The sequence below is a fragment of the Homo sapiens genome, chromosome 2, assembly GCF_000001405.40.
Source record: "Homo sapiens chromosome 2, GRCh38.p14 Primary Assembly".
In the NCBI taxonomy this organism is placed as follows: Eukaryota; Metazoa; Chordata; class Mammalia; order Primates; family Hominidae; genus Homo; species Homo sapiens.
This window is the reverse complement of record NC_000002.12, coordinates 58036289-58058108: the sequence shown is the minus strand read 5'-3', so window position 1 is coordinate 58058108 and position 21820 is coordinate 58036289. Positions and strand designations below refer to the sequence as shown.

Genomic DNA, 21820 nt, shown 5'->3' with positions numbered 1-21820 from the left:
TCTGAGCTAGTCAAACAAGTGGTAGCAGGCATGCTGGGCTCAATAATACTGCCTCTCATATTTAAATACTCTATTTCACTTGGATTGCAAATTAAAGACAGTCTCCTGAATGCTGACACATTTTCAATGATTGATTTTGCAAAACGTGTTGATTTTTCCTACACTGTTTTGCCTCTCTGTGTGTCAACTTTGGCCTTCTTTTCTTGCTCCTTTGCAGCACTGCTGTCTCTTTGAAGACATTGTCTGCCTGATACAAAAAAAAAATGTACATTAAACCTCATGACTAATTATGTGGATAGAAAATTCCCGACCTCAAACATAAAATACCCCTGCCCAGAAACCATAACAAAAGCTTCTGACTATGTACAAAACCCTTAATCAAACCTTTCACAGACTTGGATTAAAAGAAATCCCAATAATTTATTTTCTGTTAACGTTGTGCTTACATTCTTTGAAAAGTTGATTTCTTATGCATGTTACATGCATACATACATAAGTCAATCCATTTTATAGTAAACACCATGCTTTTCCCCACAAACGTTTATACTTGCTATTAGGTCTACTTCAATTAAATACTACTCAGAAGAACTGTTTTATTAGAAAGAGAAAACTGATTTGTCTTAACACAATGTCCATTTTTTAGTCCCCTCTCCATACTATGCTTTAACAGAGTAGACTCTTCACAATAAATTCTACAATCTATGGATTAAGTACACAGCTTCTTGTATTTTAAAAATATACTTGAAAAGAGAATAAACACATACTTTTATCCCTTCAAACTCCCCAAAAGATACAAAAGAATTTATCTAAATCTGAAAGTACAGTGCCTTACACGCAGGTCACATATAGGATAGAGCATGGAATTTTTTTGTCTCATACAACCTATTTATTGGGAAAATCATAATAGAACAGTTCTAGAGTTAATTTAACACATCATTTTTTAAGAACTATAACATGCAAGGCCATATTAAGCACTGTGAGTGACTGCCTGAAAGCAGTTTATAATGTAGTGTCTGTGTGCACACATGTTGGGGGAAACAGGTTAAAAAGACAGCATACAAAATAGTGACCGTCTGAAATAATGAGGTGAGCATTGTGTGAAAGCACACCATCGGAACAAAGAAAGAGAGAAGTTATGAACACTCCCCAGCATGCCTCTTTAGCATTTCAGAATTTTCATAAAGCCTACCAAGCCACCATTTGTTTCCACAACCAGTCCTAGCAGCAGACCCTCCTCGCTTCCAGTCTACCAAGTCTAGGTATTCTGCTGTTTGGCTGTTGCTTGCCTTTTCGTTAGACCAACTCTCCTCTACCTCTAGTTGTACATCTCACACTATTACCAAGTACAATAAAAGCATCACATGCCACCACACTACTATTTTGGGAAGCCCTGCAATGACTACCAGTGTACCAATTAACCAGTCCAACCCTGGATATAAAATGTTAGTTCCTCAAACACGTGATGCAGAATGGGAAGATGAGAGGAAGTGGGGTGAGTAGCCACACTAGTTACTCTTCAGAAATAGCCACACTACCTAAGCAGAACAGGTTGGATTAAGGTCTGCACATGAGCCAAAGCTGAGAATTCATTGCCTTTGTTGGCTCATGTCACTTCTTTAATTAATGTCACTTTCTCTGGTTTAATATCAGAGCAAGTGACAAGAGTGCTTCTGGATGAATTGTGTTTTCCGAGGACTGTATGGCACACTCTCCTGCAGTCTGACAGAGGGACGTGCCAGTTTTACTTGGCAGTTACAATGCACCAGCTTTAGTTTTAGTAGTTTAATTTGTGGCAGTTATATGTTTTGAATACGTTGAAGTATTCACAACGGTCTCATGGAATCTGTTCCATAGATAAAGTTTACACAGTGAAAAAGCAAAAGCAACGGCTATAAGGCGATTAGGAAAAGCTTCTCTTGGCCACAGCTGGTCTTACAGGCATTCCTGTAAATTTTAGAGCATTTAGAAGATATGATTAAAGTGATCAGAAGGAAGCGTGCCCTCTTTTAGGGGGTGGGGGAGGGGAGTTCTGTAGTGGGTGTGAGACAATCAGAAGGAAATATGATGTTTAGAGTTCTCAATTTTATGCAAAATCCATTATTCAAGAAGCAAAGTTTATATACATGATAGACATGCAATGAAATAAATGTAAAAATAGAAAGTTTTGTCACTTATGCATTAAGTTGGTTCTAACATTTTGGTTAACTAAGTTTTTATTGATAGAAAACTCAGAAGATTTTCTGCATTGAGGAGAAAGGACTAAACTTTTTCCTTTGGTTTGTTAAAAATCTTTCTGTTTCTGGATGAAATTTTCTGAAGGTCTTTTATTTGGAGTTTTCCCTTCATCTCCTTTATACAATTTTGTGAAGCTTCATCAGCTCATAGTGAAAAGAGCTGCCTGCCACCAAGGAGTTCTTCTAAACTTTGCCTGCCCTTTCTAAATTTAGGGTTCTTTACTGCAGCAGGTTGAAGATCTGGCTTTGATTGCACCTGGCTCTGCTGGAGAACAGAAATATTCATCTCCACTGAATGCATGCTGCTTAAGTGCTGGAGGCACTTGCAGGAGAGTAACTCTCATTGGAAACTTCATTACAATACTTTCTCTTCCCTACACGAAGTAGTAATTCTCATTCACCAAAGACAGGATTTTGCCTGACACAGCCACAGGAGCTGCTGTTTGACTTTCAAAATTAATCAACTTCTAAGTTGGAGTAGAAATGGCATGTCCTTTAACCTTAAGCACAAAAAGCTCTCAACAGACTGTAGTTTTTATATCCCTGGATGGGAATTTGGGCCCCTGATACTTAAACTTGATTCACATACTGGGTTTCTGGCATGCTTTTGCCCATACCCATCTGCTAGCCTGGCACTGTGCCCATTCAGAAGGTGTGATGCCAGTTTCAATAGGGCATAGGTGCCAATCAAAGATGGGTTTGGAGGGGCAGCATGCAGAACGCAGCAAAAGTCACTTCTTCTGCCAGAAGATCCTCCTGTTATCATATAATGCCAATGAAGGGCCACATGCTTCATTGCTTGGGATCACATTGCATCTGTAGATGTTTCTGGCCTTCAATGGATGTCTTTCTACAGAATATTTCCCTCAAGTATTACTTGATCGAAGATGTTAAAGAAAAGATAAATCTACCTGGCTAACAAAAGGCTATGCTTTTAAAAGAAACAAGGGAAGTCCTCAACAATTATCTTGAAATAATTGCTGAGTTTTCTATCTTTTCTCCTAAAATATTTTTTCATGGAGAATACAACAGAGTGTTCAGGAATAACAGTCCATGTGATGGAGCTATCAGGGACAAACATTCTAAAGAAATACTAATTGCAAAATCAAGTATCTAAGTAGTATAAAAACCATAAATGCCTTTAAGTGTAGATGATGAAGAAATTTTCATCATCCAAGTAGCTAATTTCTAATGAGCTCTCTCATTTAGAGCTTTAAAGTTTCTTAATTTTCTTCTCATTTATCTGATATAGATATTCCTGTGTCTTAAAAGAAGAAACACACCTCATACTATTTATTCCTCTTCTTCCTTATCTAAAGAAAAAAACCTAAAACACTTCAGAAGCAGAAGTCTATCCATATTTCATAAGGAAGCCAGAGCTCTCAAAAGCTGAGAATTCTTTTATTGTGTGGCAATAGAGGTGAGCTCATTTCAGGAAGAAGAAATTTCCCCACAGCAATATGTTTCAAATTAAAAAAAAAAAACCTTGACCACTGTAAACAGTTACAAGATAGTAACAGGTCCAGTGGAAGAGACATAATATATAAATGCACTGAAGAATAGAGTATTTTATAAATCTTCCCTTAAGGCAAAAGAATTTGACAGTAAAATGTTGAAAATAAAGAAGAACCATAATATAAAATATGCTTAAAAATGGATATTTAAAAAAATGAAAAAGCCAAGCAAAAGCCAAGTCTTATAAATCTCCCTTTTAATGGAAGGAACCCAAACTTTCTTAAACACCCAGATTTCTTAACTGATAGATAACTGGGTACTGCTATCTCTTTAAAAACTCAAAATTTAAATATAAACAAAATTAAAATACATCTTATAGAGACTTTTATTTCTTGTCTGTAAGTCCAACAAACGTATTAAATTTACAAAACTCCAAGTGATTCCTTCCCTGTTTTGAGTTTATATTACCTATTATTTATACCTTCTGGAGACTAATTTATCATAAACACTATAGTTTCTAGTCCAAATTATTCTCATTTTCACATTTATTCAATTCTTCTCTTCACTCCCACAGTATCATTTGCAAAATTGCCTAATAACAATTGCAGTGGCACCACAACGTTGCATTGTGTCAGATAAGGCTATTTATCTCAAAGCTCTCTATAAACACTACCAAAATAACACTTAATAATGTAATATGTAATGAAGCAATATGTATTCCAACACACTACTTTGTTGCTAGTATTATCACTGGGCTCTTCTAAACTTTATTCTGCATACCTTAAAATCAATCTATTATAGCTCACTATTTATAAAGAAAATAAAAAATTATTTTATGAAGAAGTAAAAACATTCTATGTATGTGGTTTATATTTACTTGTTTTAAATATAAATGTTTCCTTATCAGTAAAATAAATGATTTAAACTTTGGTAATTTCTAAAAACCTATCCGCCAACAAAAGATTCCTTCTATGTTTCTGAAGTACAAAATTAGGCTAATCCGACAACATGATCCAAAAATGTCTGGCAGTCACTTTGATGAAATTTAAACATCTGTCCATGGATAAATGATCTGATTTTCAGGCTTCACCACAGTTAACTTTAGTTATAATAATGTGTTATTCTTTATAAAAGCTTTGAGATAGTATCTTTATAAAAGATATTGCTACTGATGTCCTGTCAATAAAGCACATGCACATTCTTTTAGATGATGTCATGATAGGTGCCTTGTCTCAACTTTCCTGGTGACTAAGGATACTAATCTGCAGTAGATCGAAGAGTGACATCTATAATTATGGAAGAGAACAAAGCAAACTAGCTTGTGTGGGTTAAGTACTCCAATCTCAGTCTCAATTTCTCAGGCAAATAACTGTTGAACATCTATTCTGTGCTTGACACTCCAAAGATGCTAAATGGTCATCACTATGCCACCTTCAAAAAACTAAAACTGCTACAGATAAATCATATCTTTTACTTACATAATCAGCCTTCAAAAGAATGTGGCTAAAGTTTATCCTGTAATTCTGTTATTCTCAATTTTGAATAATTTCTGAAACCAATAGCTTTAATATCTGAGGCAGATTAAATACAGCTTATATGAGAACTTTTCACTACTATAGCAAATTTTAGGGGGAGCTTTTATCAGTTAGTAAAATGTCATAAAGTCTTATGCTGACATTCTCTATGTTCTCAGTTTTACCACATTAGTAGTTAAATCCACCAAAATTCATAGTAGAATAAATAGAAAATCCACCCTTCCAATGGAGTTCTTTGTCATCATCTTAATCCACTATGGCAGCATTTTTTTTTTTTTTTTTTTGAGACAGTCTCACTCCGTCACCTAAGCTAGAATGCAGTGGTGCAATCTTGGCTCACTGCAACCTCCTCCTCCCAGGTTCAAGCAATTCTCATGCCACAGCCTCCTGAGTACTGGGACTACACACACACATTACCACAACCAGCTAATTTTTTGTGTTTTAGTAGAGATGGGGTTTCACCAAGTTGCCCAGGCTGGATGGAGCTCAGGCAATCCACCCGCCTGGGCCTTCCAAAGTGCTAGGATTACTGGCATGAGCCACTGTGCCTGGCCCCACTATGGCACCAGTATTAAGAATGGGAAAGTCTATGGAAATAAATAACTAAATTACATTTATTAAATGCTTACCAAGTTCCTTAAAAAAATCTCATTTAATTCTCCTCACAATTATTATTATCACAATTATGCAGAATAGAAACAACCCAAAGGATTAAGTAACTAGATGAATAAGTGGCTTCATCAGGTCAGGATTCAGGTCAGATATGCCTAATGCCAAAACCTCTGCTATTATTTATGCAATTCTCCCGTAATTTACTTGGTTCTGTGTTATACCCAGCATTATAGTAAAATTCTAACCCTCAGTTTTCTCTCCTTCCTGATATTTAAAAAACTTTTTCATTCATTTGATACTAAAATGACAGCAATTTTTCCCATCCCCTAAACCAGTTTCCTTTCTTCCTTTTTCCTCCCCTTCTCTTTTCATATTCAAAGAAAGAACTTTGACTTTGTTCTTGTATTCAGACTTTTCTTTTCACTCTTTTAGCTATTTCTTATTAATGCTAGAGGCACATTATTTCTCCAAGTCAAGAGTAAATACCAAACTTCTCTGCCCCTTCCCCTTAACTGTAAGCTGCTGATTACCGAAAGGCCCTGGCTACTGATCTCAAAGCTAGAGGACAGTTGTACATGTACAATGAGCTAGACAGAGCAGCTAGTTTCTTCTCAGCCTTAGGCAGTAAACGCTGATCAAGTGTCTGCTGAAAGAGGGTATCTGGAAAGAATCGAAATGAATGTCACTGGACACAAAAGTATTCAGGAAAATTTGAATTTTACTGCTTCTTCTCTTCATTTATATAGAGGAAGTGATGAGAACCATGATAAAATGCAAAAACATGATGTAATTTCATATTGATTTGTTTGTATAGCTTTGAAAATAGTAAAAACTAAGTTTAGTGAAATTAAACTGATTCTATGATTCATTAGCATCACTTTTAATGGAACAGTTACAACATTTGGAACACACATCTTTATTATAAATTCTGAAGTACTGGAGCCTTTTTTCTGAAAATAGCTAAATATTTCTTTAAAGTCCTTCCTCAGTGGTGTGTACTTGCTAATCTTCCTAGGTAGGGTCCAGGTTCTAAAGTTCAGATACTAGAGAATGTTCCCTTACATATTGAACCCTGAAAATATATTGTAAAACAAACAGTATTATTTTGGTAATAAAAAAAAATAAGTAGGCTGGGCACAGTGGCTCACGTCTGTAATCCCAACACTTCGGGAGGCCGAGGTGGGCAGATCACCTGAGGTCAGGAGTTCGAGACCATCCTGGCCAATATGGCAAAACCCCGTTTCTACTAAAAATACAAAAATTAGCCAGGCAGGGTGGCAGGTGCCTGTAGTCCCAGATGCTTGGGAGGTTGAGGCATGAGAATTGCTTGAACCTAGGAGGTGGAGGTTGCAGTGGGCCGAGATTGAGCCACTGCACTCCAGCCTGGGTGACAGAGCGAGACTCTGTCTCAAAAAAAAAAAAAGTAAAAATATGTGACACTGTACTAGACTGAAAGAAGCAAATATTTTTCTGCATTTGAATAGGGACAAGTAAGTCACATGCCTATGCAAGTATATTCCTTTATCATAACAGTAACAATAGTGACTATGTGTACACATAGATACATACAGGTATACAGACATACACTATTTAATCTTAAACATTCACTTGAATTTAAATACATATAATATTTACATTTCAAGAAAATCAAAGAGATAAAATCAACACATCAATACTTTTCTCTAGTTCTTTGAAATTACTCAAATAATACAAATATTAGAAAACCAAAAGTGATAAGCTATGGAATTCAAGGCTATAGCTCAGCCACATCAGAAATAATTTATTCAACACTATATCTCAACCTTGAGTCAAGACAGTATACTAGAGATCTTAACTCTTTGCTGTAAAAGAGAATTCACTAAGTTCAAGTTTCAAACAATACTTATCCTCACATAGTCTTTATTTGCACTATTCTATACAGCAGCCACATGTAGTTACTGAGCATATGAGCCACATGGGCTAACTGGGCTCTTGAGACTAGATACACCTTGGATTTTGAAGACTTTCATTTAAAAAAGTAAAATATTTCATTTGTTTATGTTGAGAGCATATTGAAATAATATTTTTGATATACTAGATTAAATATTATTAAAATAATTTCACCTGTTTCTTTTAACGTATTTTAATGTGGCTCCTAGAAAATTTTAAACTACATATGTAACTTGTATTACATTTCTATTGAACAGTGTTGACTATGTCATTCAATCTAGCACTTAATAACCATAGTATTTTTTCAAGCAATTTCAAGCAAGTTCAAACCCTTTAAATGGGTCCTTTACTTGACTCATACAATTTTTTGTGCTGATCTTGTCTTTCCAACTAGAATAGACACTTAAGTATTTAATAAGCAGATATTTATTGACCAAACTTCATTCATTCATTCATTCAAAACTACAATCTTAATTTTATCAGAAGAGGATCTTTTATATTTCAGGATCCATGAAGCATGTTTTTCTGGAAATATGTGATGAGAACCCAAGATTCCCTCAACGGAGGTATTTTATCAACTCCTTAATCTCCTATAGAAATAGATGTGATCTCAAGTCTCAAGTGAGTACATTTAGGAGAATTTATCCTTGAGGGTATATTTTTAAAAATCACTACTATTTTCCTTATTTTATTAATCAATCTTTTAATGGATATCCCCTCCTCATTCCAACTCAATGATCCATTAAAGTTCAGTGTAATTTTTAAATGCTTAAATGCAATGTAAAGGCCTATCCAGCCCATGGTTCCTTACCTGTACCACAGATCACAGAAAATAATTTTGAGTGTTTATTTTTTCAATTATCCCAAGAATGGCACATCCCTAGGGACCACTCTAGATGCACGAGAGAGAAGTTAATTCATTTCACAGAATAGATGCCTTAAGTTTTATCTATGAATTCTCCAGTAGAGCCCAATTAAGAAATGACTAGACTCTTGTATTGCCTAAATATTGATTAAGATTCACAAACAGAAAGTGTTTTTATCTATACAGTTGTGGTTTCTCATCTGAAAAAAGCATGTTTCTAAGAAAACAAGCTCTCAAAAAAAAAGAAAGTTAGCATTTTGTCTGGCAGATTGTATAATTATGCTCTAAAAAGACTTCTAAGATTTACTCAGAAAAACATGGACAACAAGGAGTGGGTCAGTGATGTCTTGAACCTAGACACTGTACTCTATTATTACTTAATCGAGTACAATCATGAATTTTAATAAAGTACACATATGAATTCCATATTTCCATTCTTAAAATACCACTAAGTAATCACGGTTACAGTCACAGATATAAGAATAATTGTTAATTTAAGGTTTTACTTTACCTAAATATATCAATCCAAATCCTCCAGAGCCAATCTTCTTGCCCAGTACCCACTGATTGCCTTCCATATCATCCAGAACCTTGCCTTCTGGAAATGGAATAGGAAGTTTGTATTTTTCATTTCTTTTTGGTGGCATCACTTCTGTTGGCAGAAGGGGTGAGATAAATGGGTAAAAAGAAAAACAAACAAACAAAACTCTTAAAATACACTTCCCAAAATGTCTTCAATAGGGAACTTTCCCAGGTTCCCAGAAATTAGGATTCTAAAGTTAATTCAGTTTGGAAAAGCCCACACATTATATTCAAATTAGAAATTCACATACATTACAATACTGAGATCTAAGAGGTATAGATATTTTAAAAAAACAGAAGCAAACTAACCAAATTTCATCCAAAATTCATTTCGGGGTTCTATAGCACATATTAACAGTGCAGGACACACCTTAAGAAACACGAAATTAACAATTTCCAATGAAGAAAGAAAATAAATTTCATGTACATGGAAATATTGCTGTCACTGAGAATGTAAAATGTTAAAAGTGAGAAGGTCTTCAGTCACTAGAAAAGAACACAGGATTGGATTGGGAAGACACAGACAATGGCAATGGACATCTCACCACCGTGATACTAGGTACTCAGTAAACATTTGTTAAATGAGCCAGGGATTTTCACGGATATGTAACTTAGCAGAATACTAGGCCATCAGTTCTCGGGCTGCCAAAATATTCTCAGCATTTTGTCTTCTTACCCTCTTTCTCAGTTTATCACAGTGAAAACAGTCCTGCCTTAGAGATTACAACTGTGCCACCAACAACAAAAGCATAATCTCCACAGCACAGCCATGCAACTTTAATCAACTAATTATAATTGTACATAGGTTAGCAAATTTCTCAATGGGAAATTCTGAGTTAAAAGAGAAAATTTCTTAGGGGAAAATACATATGCCAGCATACATGCCTGAAAATAATTTAAATGTGAAGGTAACCATGATCCTCTAAGTATTTAAAACTATTAAGAGTTTCTGACATGAAAGTTAATTAAAAACGTATATACGTAAATGTAAAGTTTTCTTAATATAATCTTCCTAGCTTCCATAAAAGAAAGTATCTGTTTTTCCTTTAACGGGTTTTTCCTCCTTCACTTAACTGCTTTTTTACTTAGCAGTATTGTCCCAGGTAGAGTCGCTGCGTGTATCTTTAACAATATTCACCTTCCTCCTGATAGGCACACAAGGGCTGGGAATTTGGATGGTGAACTATGCCTAGAGCATTGATTGTATCATAAAGCAGGAAAAGTTTTTGTGGAGGTTTCCCTTGACCAGTACATTATATAGGCTGGTGCCTATTACAGATTTACTGATTTAAAACTTAAAGTCTCCAAAGTGTAAACTACTGATTAAGGAATAAATTCTAAATAATTATAAAAAAGATAAATACACTTTGGGGCAAGGCAGCGGCCTCAGGGCTTGAGGCGGTAAGGGAGACTCTACGAAATGTACATCCTGGGGGCGAGTCCCGAGTTCATCTGCCAAGGGAAACGACAGCCTCTCAGGGCCCGTCCCTGTCAGGGGTGTCCCTTCGGCTTCTGGGTACCTTCCCAGGGCTAAGATGAGTCCTCAACACGAGTTTCCGAGCAAACTGGTACCCAGGGGTTAACATGTGCCTGGGCTGACCTCCAACCCCGCCGCGGCCCCTGACCCTGCGGAAGGTAACGAGAAGCAGCGCGGCCCAGCCGCCTGGTCCGTCCGCCCTTAGCACGCCGGGGACCTACGGCCAACCCCGCGCCCCAACTTCCCGCCACAAGTTCTCTCTGCACCGGCAAAAAGAGAAACTCCACCCACTTTTCCGCTAACACGTCGGACCCGCTTTTGGCAAACGTGAGTAGAAGGGGACGCCTTGTTCTCACTCCCAGCGGGGAAAAAAGAACCAAACGCGGAAGCAGCGACTCTGCCCGGGCCGGAGCTGAGGCCCGGGGGCTGGGACGGCCCGGAGTCCCCGGCATCTAACTCCGACGGCAGCCCTTTTCCGAGCGGGGCCGCGGCTCCGGCACTGCAAGCGGAGGTGCCGCCCGCCACCCAAGACCCCAGAGCAAGAGACTGACCGGGCCTCAGGATCCCCCGTCGCCGGGCCGCGCGCACCGCCTCCTACCTGCCGCTGCGACGAGGCGGAGCCCCCGGGCCTACAGTCCCGCGGGGAGGCGGGCCCAGCACTCGAGCCTGCCCTCCCTAGGACCTGCCTAACTTCTCTCCAGCTGCGTCGGCCTCGCAGTGCAGCGGCCCGCGGAGCCTCACACAGGCCGCAGCCGGTTCCTTTCAGCGGCCTGTCCACGCCCCGGAGACGCCCAGGGGAAGGAGAGGGCGCGGCTACATGGGGAATGGGAGCTGTGTTACTACCTCCACCCTGGCCCGCCAGCGTCTGGACGAAGAACCGCCGCCAGACCAGTTTGGTACGAAATAAGCACGACATGCATTTGTGTAGGAGTGTTAGATCTCCTGTACCACAACCTGAGTACTACGAGCTTCCAAATGGCTAGTCCTTACCGAGCTCTCGCCGAGCAACTAACTATTGGTACTAGCGAAGACTCCAGTTAGGAGGGCCTGTATGTAACTCACCGCGTTTAAGTTCTCAAAGGCATATTGGTTCAGGACCTATTTCTGCCATTAATCGTAGGATAATTTAACACCGTAATTAACAAACTTCAGGTTTTTTTGTCTGTGAAATGGAAATAACCCTTGTTGTTAGATTATAAGGTTATTGGTTATAAGATTATGACAATAAGGTGAGGACTTTATTAAGCAGTTTTCTAATACATAAAGACTCATAGTGGCCAGGTGCGGTGGCTCACGCCTGTACTCCCAGCACGTTGGGAGGCCGAGGCGGGTGGATCATCTGAGGTCAGGAGTTTGAGACCAGCCTGGCCAACATGGTGAAACCCTATCTCTACTAAAAATACAAAAAATTAGCCAGGCGTGGTGGCGGACGCCTGTAATCCCAGCTACTCGGCAGGCTGAGGTAGGAGAAGCGCTTGAACCCAGGAAGCAGAGATTGCAGTGAGCAGAGAGCGCGCCACTGCACCCCAGCCTGGGCAGCAAGAGGGAAACTCAGTCTCGAAGGAAAGAAAAAAAAGACTCATAGTAAGCTTATATTTTAGACTAAACCAAACAAATGCTTAGACAAAGATTATTAATACGTCAGCATTCTACATAGTAACCACCAATAATTGGTTGGGATACAAATACTGAAAGGAAAATTAGAGCCCTTTAATGACTTTGATAGAATAAGGAATTGGGGCTCCCTACATCTTTCAGACTGTCACCAAAATGAAAGATGGCATGAGAAGACGTTTCTAAAAACAAACAAAAAAGTATTTTTAAAGAAACAGTCCATAGAATAATTGTGCCCTTAGTCATTCACTGGTCCAACAGTGTCCTTTCTTATTTTCTTAAGATATTTATATAACAGATGCATAATTACAGATATTTATGTAACAGATGCATAATAATCCTAATATCCATATTGGGTACTCTTTCCTCCTTTCCAAATTTGTTTAGCTTTCCACCACTTCCCCGGCTCCCTTTTGAGAAGAAACAACTCCAGTAGCAACCACAGCAGATTACTTGTAGGTGGTTCCTCTCCCTACAGGCATGTATCCAGTGTTAGTAAATCCTGTTGGCTCAACCTTCAAAATACATCCAGCATCTATCACTTAGCACCCTTACCTGCATTCTGGCCCAAACCATATTTTTTCTCTAGGTAATTGTATTACCCTCCTAAATGTTTTATACCCTCTTATCCCTTTAGTCTGTTCACAGCAAGCAGCCACATGATCCTTAACGCTTAAATAATTACTGAGCTTAAAACAATTCAGTGTTATTCCAATTTACTCACAATTAGCCAGTCTTCGCTATGACTTTAAACAGCATTTCTCAACCTGGGCACTATTGACAGTCAGCCTGGATAATTCTTTGTTGGGGGTTTGGGAGAAGGAGGAGGATTGAGAGATAGGCTGTCCTGTGCATTGTAGGATATTTAGCAGTATCCCTGGTCTCCTCAGCACTCCCTCCCACACAAGTTAACAACCAAAATATCCCCCAACATGACGAAATTTTGCCAAAATTGCCAGTCGTTGAAAAGAACACTGATCTACCTATTATGCACTCCCACTCCCCAATGTCCTATTACTCTCTTCAACCACAGTGGCCTGCTGTTCTCAAGAACTTTTCGCATTTACTGCCACCTGGACCACTCTCCAACCTGGTATCCGTATAGACTGCTCCATCACTTCCTTCAGGTCTTTATTTAAAAGTCAGTTCAGTGAGACCTTTCCTAAACATCCTATCTGAAATTTCAGCTCACCCACAATATTTCGTAGCCTCTTTCCCTGTATTTTTCCCAGTACCTACTGCTATACAGCAATATATTATACAGTTTATTATTTATTTTGACAAAAGACAATCTTTTTCAGTAAATTGTATGTTTCATGAGGTCAGGCAACATTTTTGCCTGTTTTCGTCACTACTGTATCCCCAACCCCTAGAAAGGATATGGGCAACCATTTCCTTCTTCAATGAATAAATGAACCATGCTGGCCCCATTCCAATTCCCATGATTGGTTTAGACAGTACAAAATAAGCATGTGCTGAGTCTAGGTAACGAGGTGAAAAGAAGTTTGCTGGACACATTCTTGGAAGAGATAGTCTCTGATGTGATGGTTAAAATGGCTGCAGTCATCGTGTGACCACAAAGATGGGAAAAAGTACTAATCTAAAGCCCCAGGAATGGCAGAATATTCAACAAATGTTAGAACAGCTAGACATCCATATATACAAAAAAAAGAAGAAAGAAAGAAACCTCAACCCTTAATTCACACCCCATGTAAAAATTTACTTGAAACTGATCATACAGCTAAATCTAAATACAAGATCTAAATCTCAAACTTTTTAGAGAAAACCTAGCAGAAACTCTATATAATCTTTAAATGTGTGCACTTATAAAGTATAAAAAATTTAAAAGCTGGAAACCTAAAAGAAGAAATTGACAATTTAACTTCATCAAAATGAAAAACTTTTGCTTTTCAAAAAATACTAATAAGTTACCAAGGATTTGGAACAACTTGGAACTCTCTTATATTGCTGTTGATGGTACAGCCACTCTGGAAAACAGTTTGGCAGGTTCTTATAGTGTCAAACATATAATTAACATACAACCCAGCATTCGCATATTTACCCAAGATAAATCTAAACCTGTATCCACACAAAGACTTGTAGGGGAATCTTTAGAGCAGCTTCATATGTGATAGCCAAAACTGGAAATAAATTTCCATCAACTGGTGAATGAATAAGCAAATTATACTATATCTACTATACAATGAACTATCACTCAGCAATAAAAAGGAGCAAAGCACCAATACAGTCAACAAGCTGGATGAATATCAAAAACACAATGCTATGTAAAAGAAGACACAAAGGAGTATATATAATATAATAATTTATTCGAAATCGAAGAGCTGGGATTGACTGCAAGGAGCTGAAACGTTGCAAATGTTAAATTTCTTTACTGTGGTAATAGATACATTATTATACATTTGTCAAAATTCCTCTAGTTATACACTTAAAATTGAATTATATATAAATTATGCCTTAATAAAATCGATTTAAAAGAATGGCAAAAGAGAAAGATAGGAAGATCCTGAGTCTTTGAGGCCATTATTGAACTACTAATTCAACTAATCCTGAACCACCATATTTTCATATTCATCCATGAAGTGTTAAGTGTTCTTATGATTTAAACCACTTAGCATTGGTTTTTATATTTCTTGCAGCCAAAATCTTCCTAACAGTAAAATAAAGTTTCAAGTTTCATAAGTGCCAATGATTTTTAAATGTTAATAAATTTGTACTAAATAAAAATGGCAACAGGAGCAGGTAAACCTATATTGAGAATATGTGTTTTTTTTAAGTGTTGGGATTTAATGCAGAATTTTATGATTCAGAGCATATTGCTGTGTGTATGTTTCAAGATGAAAACTGACAGAATATAGAAATACAAATTTTGGAACTAGTGAAAGAACATCTTCTGAATGAACATGATGAGAAACAAGAAAGAAAAGAGAATCTAGACATGAAAGCAGTGAAGTGTGAGTCATCAGAAAAAAAATATGGGGAAAACTAGGTTTTCAAACAAAGCTATTTTGATAGATCTTACAGGCTATGAATGATTCACCACAAATACACGCACACAAAAGGACTTTCTTGGCTGTATGCCAACTTGTAGGTATGGCATGCGTTCTGCTTTTCAAAGAACTGGGTGCTATAAAATGCTTACACTGGTTAAAAAGAAAAAGAAAAACCCAACCATTTAGTAAGCATACTTTACAAGGCCAAGATCATTTCAAATCAATTAAAATGTTAAAGATGATGCATAGACAAAACATTCAGAAAAAGCCAATTTTTGTTATTTAAAGTGAGATAAGGAGATCATATCAGTGAACGTGTTTTGCCTGCCAAAGAAGAGCTAGTATTTTTGTTCTGTAAAAATCAGGAGGCCATTTGCACTCATAAACTTACAATCTCTAAACAGCTAAGCAGTTCCTGACATAGAAATTTTGAAATTAATAATTTTGAAAATAATAGAATTCAGGTAAATGGAATTCCAAGCCCATTAGATAAACAATCAGACCAAGTATCTATGTCCTCTGCATTCTTTACATATAAGATCATTACAAAGTATAAACTTAATCATCCAAATGACATAATTCTTCATTGTCTATATAAATGAAGAATTAGAATATTAAAAATAATTTAAAATGTCATATCAATATGTCATGTAAACCAAAAAGTATCTGAGATAAGTCTCAATCAATTTAGAAGTTTCTTTTGCCAAGGTTAAGGACATGCCCGGGATACAGCCTCAGGAGGTCCTGAGAACATGTGCCCAGGATGGTTGGGCTACAGTTTGGTTTCGTATGTTTTAGGGAGACAGAAGACGTCAATCGATACTTGTAAAATGTACATTGGTTCAGTCTGGAAAGGCCCGACAGCTTGAAAGGGGGGTAGGAGGGGGGAGTTCCAGGTCATAGGTGGATTCAAAGATTTTCTGAGTTTATCTAAAGACCTGGAATCAGCAGAAAGGAATATCTGGGTTAAGATAAGGGGTTGTGGAGACCAAGGGTATTAGTTTACTGATGGAGCCTCCAGGTAGCAGGCTTCAGAGAGAATAGACTTTAAATGTTTCTTATCAGACTTAAAAAGATGCCAGATTCTTAGTTAATTCTCTTCTGGATCAGGAAAAAGACTTGGAAAGGGAAGGGGATTCTCTACAGAATGTAGATTTTTTCCACAAGAGAATGTTTGCAGGGCCATTTCAAAACATGTCAAAGAAATATATTTGGGGATAAACTGCTTCATTTTTTTTCAGGGCCTGGTATCTGTCATGTTGGTATCTTATTGCTACAAAAAGTCTGTCTCGTCAGTCCAAAGGTCTGTGCTTTAATATTAATGCTGGTCAGTTGTGTGGGAATTTCAAAGGGCAGAGGGTATGCATACCCAACCACCCATTTCCATCATGGCCTGAACTGGTGTTTCCAGTTAACTTTGGAATGTCCTTGGCTGAAAAGAGGGGTCCATTCAGTTAGTTCGGGGGCTTAGAATTTTATTTTTCATTTATAGTCAAAAGGCTCAATAAAAAATTTTTAAGCATATTAATTTGTAGAACCCTGCTGCCAAACAAAATGTAAATGTAAATATGTATCAGATTATCTCTCAAACAATTGAATGTAGTAAACCAAATATTGACTAGCCAAAAGTGGTATGATTCTTACCCTGTCCATTCCCCAAATACGAGCACCATAAAAGGTTAACTATAAGACTATATTTACACTCTACATCCTTTTTCCCCCCCAGTTAACATCCCTGCAGTAACCAAAAACATGAGCTGGATAAGGAGGAGAAGAGGAGCTGGCCGAATGATTTTTAAGCAGAAGCTGAATGTTCAATAAGAATAGAGTTGACACCTTCAGAGGAGAAGTAAGAAATAGTTTTCCTGTGTGTCATGTAAGTCATGTTTTTAGGCTTACCTTTCATGCAATTGCAACAACATCCTCTAAGGGTCTTGAACGAACCTTCTATTCCCCAAATATTCCTGACCATTCCCAATGACTATCTCAGATGTGCTCCATCACTTTGTCTCTCCTACTGTGAACCTTTTGGTTGGTATCTACTGTTGACACATAGCTTACCTAATGAACTAGGTGGAAGTATCTGGCTAATGTTGCTAGCTGCCTTCTTCCACACAGCTCTATCTCTGACATTCTGTAGCTTGCAAGGCATCAAAATGGACCTGGATTTTCTGCAGCCCTTAAGACACTTAAACCAAGTTGTGGTCCACACAGAAGCAAAGGCTTCTCTTGTCGCTTTGGGTCACAATTTCTCTTACTGCTTTACTACTTCCACTACAGGGGCTAACAAATGTTTTAATGTAAACAGTGTATTTAGGTTTTCCTCTAAGTCTCACTGCCAATTTCAGGACCTAAGCATGCAGTTGGGAGCTAGTGGACACGACAAGTGAAAGATATTATGTTATATTCAGATTTATTTTTCTTTAGATATCATAAAAGTAATTGGACAAACCTAGTCTTCCTGACTTCCCCTTCTGTTACCTGTTATATTGAGTTATCTCACTGAAGACTCCTTGTTATTTCAGGCAAATACACTCAGATGTCTGTGGATCTAGAAATGAGTGAAAAATATAGATTCCAGCTGAGAGATACACAATTATCAAATTCCTTAAGATATACCAATATTTAAATCTATTTATTATAAAATACATGCTTATCTGGGGAACATAGCGAGACCCTGTCTCTACCAAAAATTATTAATAAAAAGTAAAAAAAATTAGCCAGGTGTGGTAGTGTGTGCCTGTATTCCCAGCTACTCAGAAGGCTGAGGTGGGAGGATTGGGAGCCTGGGAGATTGAGGCTGCAGTGAGCTATGATCACAACACTACTCCAGCCTGGGCAACAGAGTGAGACTCTGTCTCAAAAATAAAAATAAAAATAAAAATAAAAAATAAATAAAAATAAAATACATGCTTATAGTAAATATTTAAGAAAATATCAAGAAGTAATTATAGAGGGGGAATTGCCCATAAAAAATTTTTAAAAATACTCTCTGTTAACATTTTAGTGCATTTCCTTTTAGTGTTTTATTTTTTATCCCGTAAAAGGTTTTAGGTTATATGCTTTCCACAGTTATACTCAAATTGTGTGTATATAATATTTTTATTCTGCTTTTTTCAATTAACAGTATAACAAACACATTTTCCCCCTCTCCAGTCATCAGTCATGATCCCCCATCCTTAAACAATTAGTCACTAAATCCTGAGTCTTTAATATGCTTATTGGGGTAATGAGTTGGGGAAAGACAAGGAGTGATCTCAGGAAGCCAGGAAATTCATATTGAAATAAAAAGAAATGCTAGGGAGAAAAATAATTAAGAAGGCTAGAGGAGAAACAGAAAAGACAAGAATTCAATCCTATTGGATGTAGGAGAAATTTTTAGGGAATAAGGAGAGAGGAATATGAAAGTTTTTTGTGGAGAACAGCTGCTCTGAGATAACTGAGACTGAAAGAGAAAGAAAAAGAGCATTTTTAAGAGTTGAATGTACTTCCCCTTTTGGCAATGTTGTGAGGAAGTGCAATTAGGATGCACATTGCTTTCGGTTATCTTTGGCTGCAGGAGAGTTGTTTCTTGGAATATGATCCTATGTGAGGATCTTTTCAAAATGAGGGTATAAACTGGCCAGGATGATGTAGGTTGTATAATAGCTTTTAAAATTGTTTTATTTTTACGTAAATCAGATAATACCTTACTTGCTGTTTCACATCTTGATTTTTATCAACTAATAGTATTGTGGCTTCCCCAACCTGCATCAATATATAAATATTTTATCATATTCCAGTTGTACATGTCTTCTAATATTCCATAGTGTAGATGTATCATCATTTAATCGTTTTTATTTAGATGGATATTTAGGGTTTTTTTGTTTTATTCCAAATTATCATGAAAGCAGAATGTTGATCAGTCTTATTTCATCAGCACCTGTAGTAGTGGCTGAGGTTGTGTGGTTGAGGCTTGCATATTAAATTGACAAAAGACAGATTAACAGGAAAAAAGGTGTATGTATCTTTATTGATGCTAAATTTTTTTATGTGCATAGGGTCTCACAGAAAGAAAGTGAAAACTCAAAGAAGTTAGACTTGTAGGCATATATACCATTTTAACAAAGTGTGATATATTATGGAGAAGTGACTAGACAAAAGAAATGAGGGCTCCTAGGGGCAGTAAACTATGGAACAGAGACTGGTAAATCTGGGGTAGATAAGGCTTGTTTAGTAAGTTTTGTTAGGCAGATAAGAATAATTATCCTACACTCGGGACTGGAGAGAAAAACACCTTTACAAATGAAAATCTGTGTTGCCTTTACAAAGGAAAATTTATACACCACTGTAAGGCAGAAAGGAGGAGGCCGGAAAGTTCTTCCTGTGTGTGCTCATGTTAGTCCATTTTCACACTGCTATTAAGGAATATCTGAGACTGGGTAGTTTATAAAGGAAAGATTTAATTGACTTACAGTTTAGCATGGCTGGGGAGGCCTCAAGAAACTTCAAGTACCTTTTTCACAAGGCAGCAGAAAAGAGAGCAGGGGAAACCTCCAATTATAAAACCATTAGATCTTGTGAGAACTCACTCACTATCACAAGAACAGCATGGGGGAAAACACCCCCATGATCCAATCACCTCCCACCAGGCCTCTCCCTCAACACCTGAGGATTACAATTCGAGATGAGATTTGGGTGGGGACACAGAGCCAAACCATATCAATGTTGCTCCTCAATTGCTTTCAGCTCCAAATCATCCTTATATCAAAGTGGCATATTTTGGGGTGTCATATTCTAATTCCTATATTGGCATGTAGCAGGCAATGAAATAAATGCTTGTTGAATGAATACTTGCTACACTGCCTGTTTTTCAGTCTTTTATATTTTCCCAATGAGATGGCAAATTATTGTGTTGTTTTAATTTTTATTTTTCTGATTACTAGTAAGGTTAAGAAACTTCTCATTTGTTTATTAGGCATTTGTACTTTGTAAAATTAGTTGTTGGCCATAGCTCTACCCATTTTTCTACTCAGTTTGATCATTTTCTGAAAACAGTTTCTTTATTGGCAAAAAGAAGGGAGACATATTGCAGGAGTATTGTAAGGTTTAAATGAAAAGATGGCAAAGAACCTAGCATAGTAAATATCTCCTTAGATATGAATGTACTTCCTCAATTTTCTCAATCCTGAGAATACTCTTGAGTAGGAAGGTATTGGCCCACATCTTTTAAAACACTTTTATGAAAAATGGGGGATTTTGTTTCTGTGTCTTCCACAAACAGCTTTTTTCTTTAAGCTTTTCATTGCAAACATGCAGATATTTATGGAACAAGAGTCAAAACCTACTTCTGCACCCCTCACCCCACCTGCCCCCTTTCCCATAGAAAATAAACAGATTCTAAGGTCTTTCAGTTTTTATTCTTAGGGCCTATAGACCTTGAGCTCAGTTTGTCTCAACTAAAATTATATAGGATCTTGAGTACTTGATAAAGAGTTTAGCCTTGACATTATAGACCTTGGCTGTGTAGCACGGAAGTCATGAAACACCTGCGACCGTGTACATTTAAACGAATCAAGACACTGGGAATGGTGGCTCATGCCTGTAATCTCAGAACTTTGGAAGGCTAAGGCAGGAGGATTGCCTGAGCCCAGGAATTGGAGATCAGCCTGGGCAACATGATGAGACCCTATCTCTGCAAAAAATACAAAAATTAGCTGGGCATGGTGGTGCATGCCTATAGTTTCAGCTACTCATGAGTCTGAAATGGGAGGATGGCTTGAGTCCAGGACAAGACTACAGTGAGTAGTGACTGCACCACTACACTCCAGACTAGGCAACAGAGTGAGACTCTGTCAAAAAAAAATTAATTAATAAAATTAAGATTAAGCAAAATGAAAAATTCGGTACCGGCTTCATGAGTTATGTTTCAAGTGCTCCTTAGCCACATGTACCTAGTGGCTACCCTATTGGACAGTATAGATTATAAAATATTTCCATCATTATAGAGAGTTATGTTGGACATCACTACTATAGACAATAGAAAATCACTGGAGACTTGAGCAGGAGGCTGACACTAACTACTTGTGTGTGATAACCACACAGAATATAGCGTGATATATATGAGAATGGTCTATTCTTTAGCCAACACCATATTTTTTTGATTACTGTAATTCTAAACTACATTTTTTTTGGTTTTACATAGTATTTCTGTATATATTAATTTGAACATAGAAAAGTTGTGGAAGGCATATACCATCTCGATACTGATTACATTGGGTTATCTCAGCACATAGAATAGAAAGAGTTAGAGTAGATTAATGCTTTATTTTAGACCTATGGTACTTTTTACCTATTACAACAAAGAAAAATTCATTTGTGTTATTTCTATGAAATGAAATTAATGATATGCCCACTGCCTCTTCACCACATTCATTTTTTTAAAAAGATCCTAAGGGAAATTAATTTAGTACTACATAGAATATAGATACTTTATAGTTTAAAGGAATATATATTCCTTTTTTGCA

The 21820-nt window shown here is 37.2% G+C and overlaps 1 protein-coding gene and 1 long non-coding RNA gene across 15 annotated transcripts in view, besides 6 other annotated features; one reads left to right on the top strand and one right to left on the bottom strand.

Annotated features, from left to right (window-relative positions):
- The window catches only part of VRK2 (VRK serine/threonine kinase 2), a 252329-nt gene that overhangs the window by 101812 nt on the left and 128697 nt on the right, over nucleotides 1-21820 (bottom strand). For 4 of the 14 annotated variants that reach the window (XM_006712091.5, XM_006712090.5, NM_006296.7 and 1 more), the window contains exons 1-2: nucleotides 11241-11303; nucleotides 9142-9282 (exon numbers count right to left, since the gene is read on the bottom strand). In XM_006712091.5, the coding sequence (XP_006712154.1) occupies nucleotides 9142-9277 (136 nt within the window). In that variant the 5' untranslated portion in view covers nucleotides 9278-9282; nucleotides 11241-11303. Of the gene's footprint in view, nucleotides 1-9141; nucleotides 9283-10732; nucleotides 10915-10980; nucleotides 11468-21820 lie in introns of those variants that run through there. The other 10 variants (NM_001288836.1, NM_001130483.2, NM_001130480.2 and 7 more) reach the window with 6 other exon arrangements.
- Nucleotides 10876-18033, top strand: LOC107984043 (formin-2-like). Its single transcript, NR_171623.1, has 3 exons — nucleotides 10876-11585; nucleotides 16556-16617; nucleotides 17041-18033. It is a non-coding gene; the product is annotated as a formin-2-like (long non-coding RNA).
- Nucleotides 10924-11479: an enhancer, noted in NCBI's record as "H3K27ac hESC enhancer chr2:58273765-58274320 (GRCh37/hg19 assembly coordinates)". NCBI's record gives its function as "activates a minimal SCP1, AML or CMV promoter by ChIP-STARR-seq in naive H9 embryonic stem cells {active_cell/tissue: H9 hESC(naive)}" and the evidence as "EXISTENCE:reporter gene assay evidence [ECO:0000049][PMID:30033119]".
- Nucleotides 11051-11320: a silencer, noted in NCBI's record as "silent region_11506". NCBI's record gives its function as "represses an Ori minimal core promoter by ATAC-STARR-seq in GM12878 lymphoblastoid cells {active_cell/tissue: GM12878}" and the evidence as "EXISTENCE:reporter gene assay evidence [ECO:0000049][PMID:35858748]".
- Nucleotides 11471-11590: an enhancer, noted in NCBI's record as "active region_15793". NCBI's record gives its function as "activates an Ori minimal core promoter by ATAC-STARR-seq in GM12878 lymphoblastoid cells {active_cell/tissue: GM12878}" and the evidence as "EXISTENCE:reporter gene assay evidence [ECO:0000049][PMID:35858748]".
- Nucleotides 11471-12035: a biological region, named in NCBI's record as "H3K27ac-H3K4me1 hESC enhancer GRCh37_chr2:58273209-58273764".
- Nucleotides 11480-12035: an enhancer, noted in NCBI's record as "H3K27ac-H3K4me1 hESC enhancer chr2:58273209-58273764 (GRCh37/hg19 assembly coordinates)". NCBI's record gives its function as "activates a minimal SCP1, AML or CMV promoter by ChIP-STARR-seq in naive H9 embryonic stem cells {active_cell/tissue: H9 hESC(naive)}" and the evidence as "EXISTENCE:reporter gene assay evidence [ECO:0000049][PMID:30033119]".
- Nucleotides 18877-18926: an enhancer, noted in NCBI's record as "active region_15792". NCBI's record gives its function as "activates an Ori minimal core promoter by ATAC-STARR-seq in GM12878 lymphoblastoid cells {active_cell/tissue: GM12878}" and the evidence as "EXISTENCE:reporter gene assay evidence [ECO:0000049][PMID:35858748]".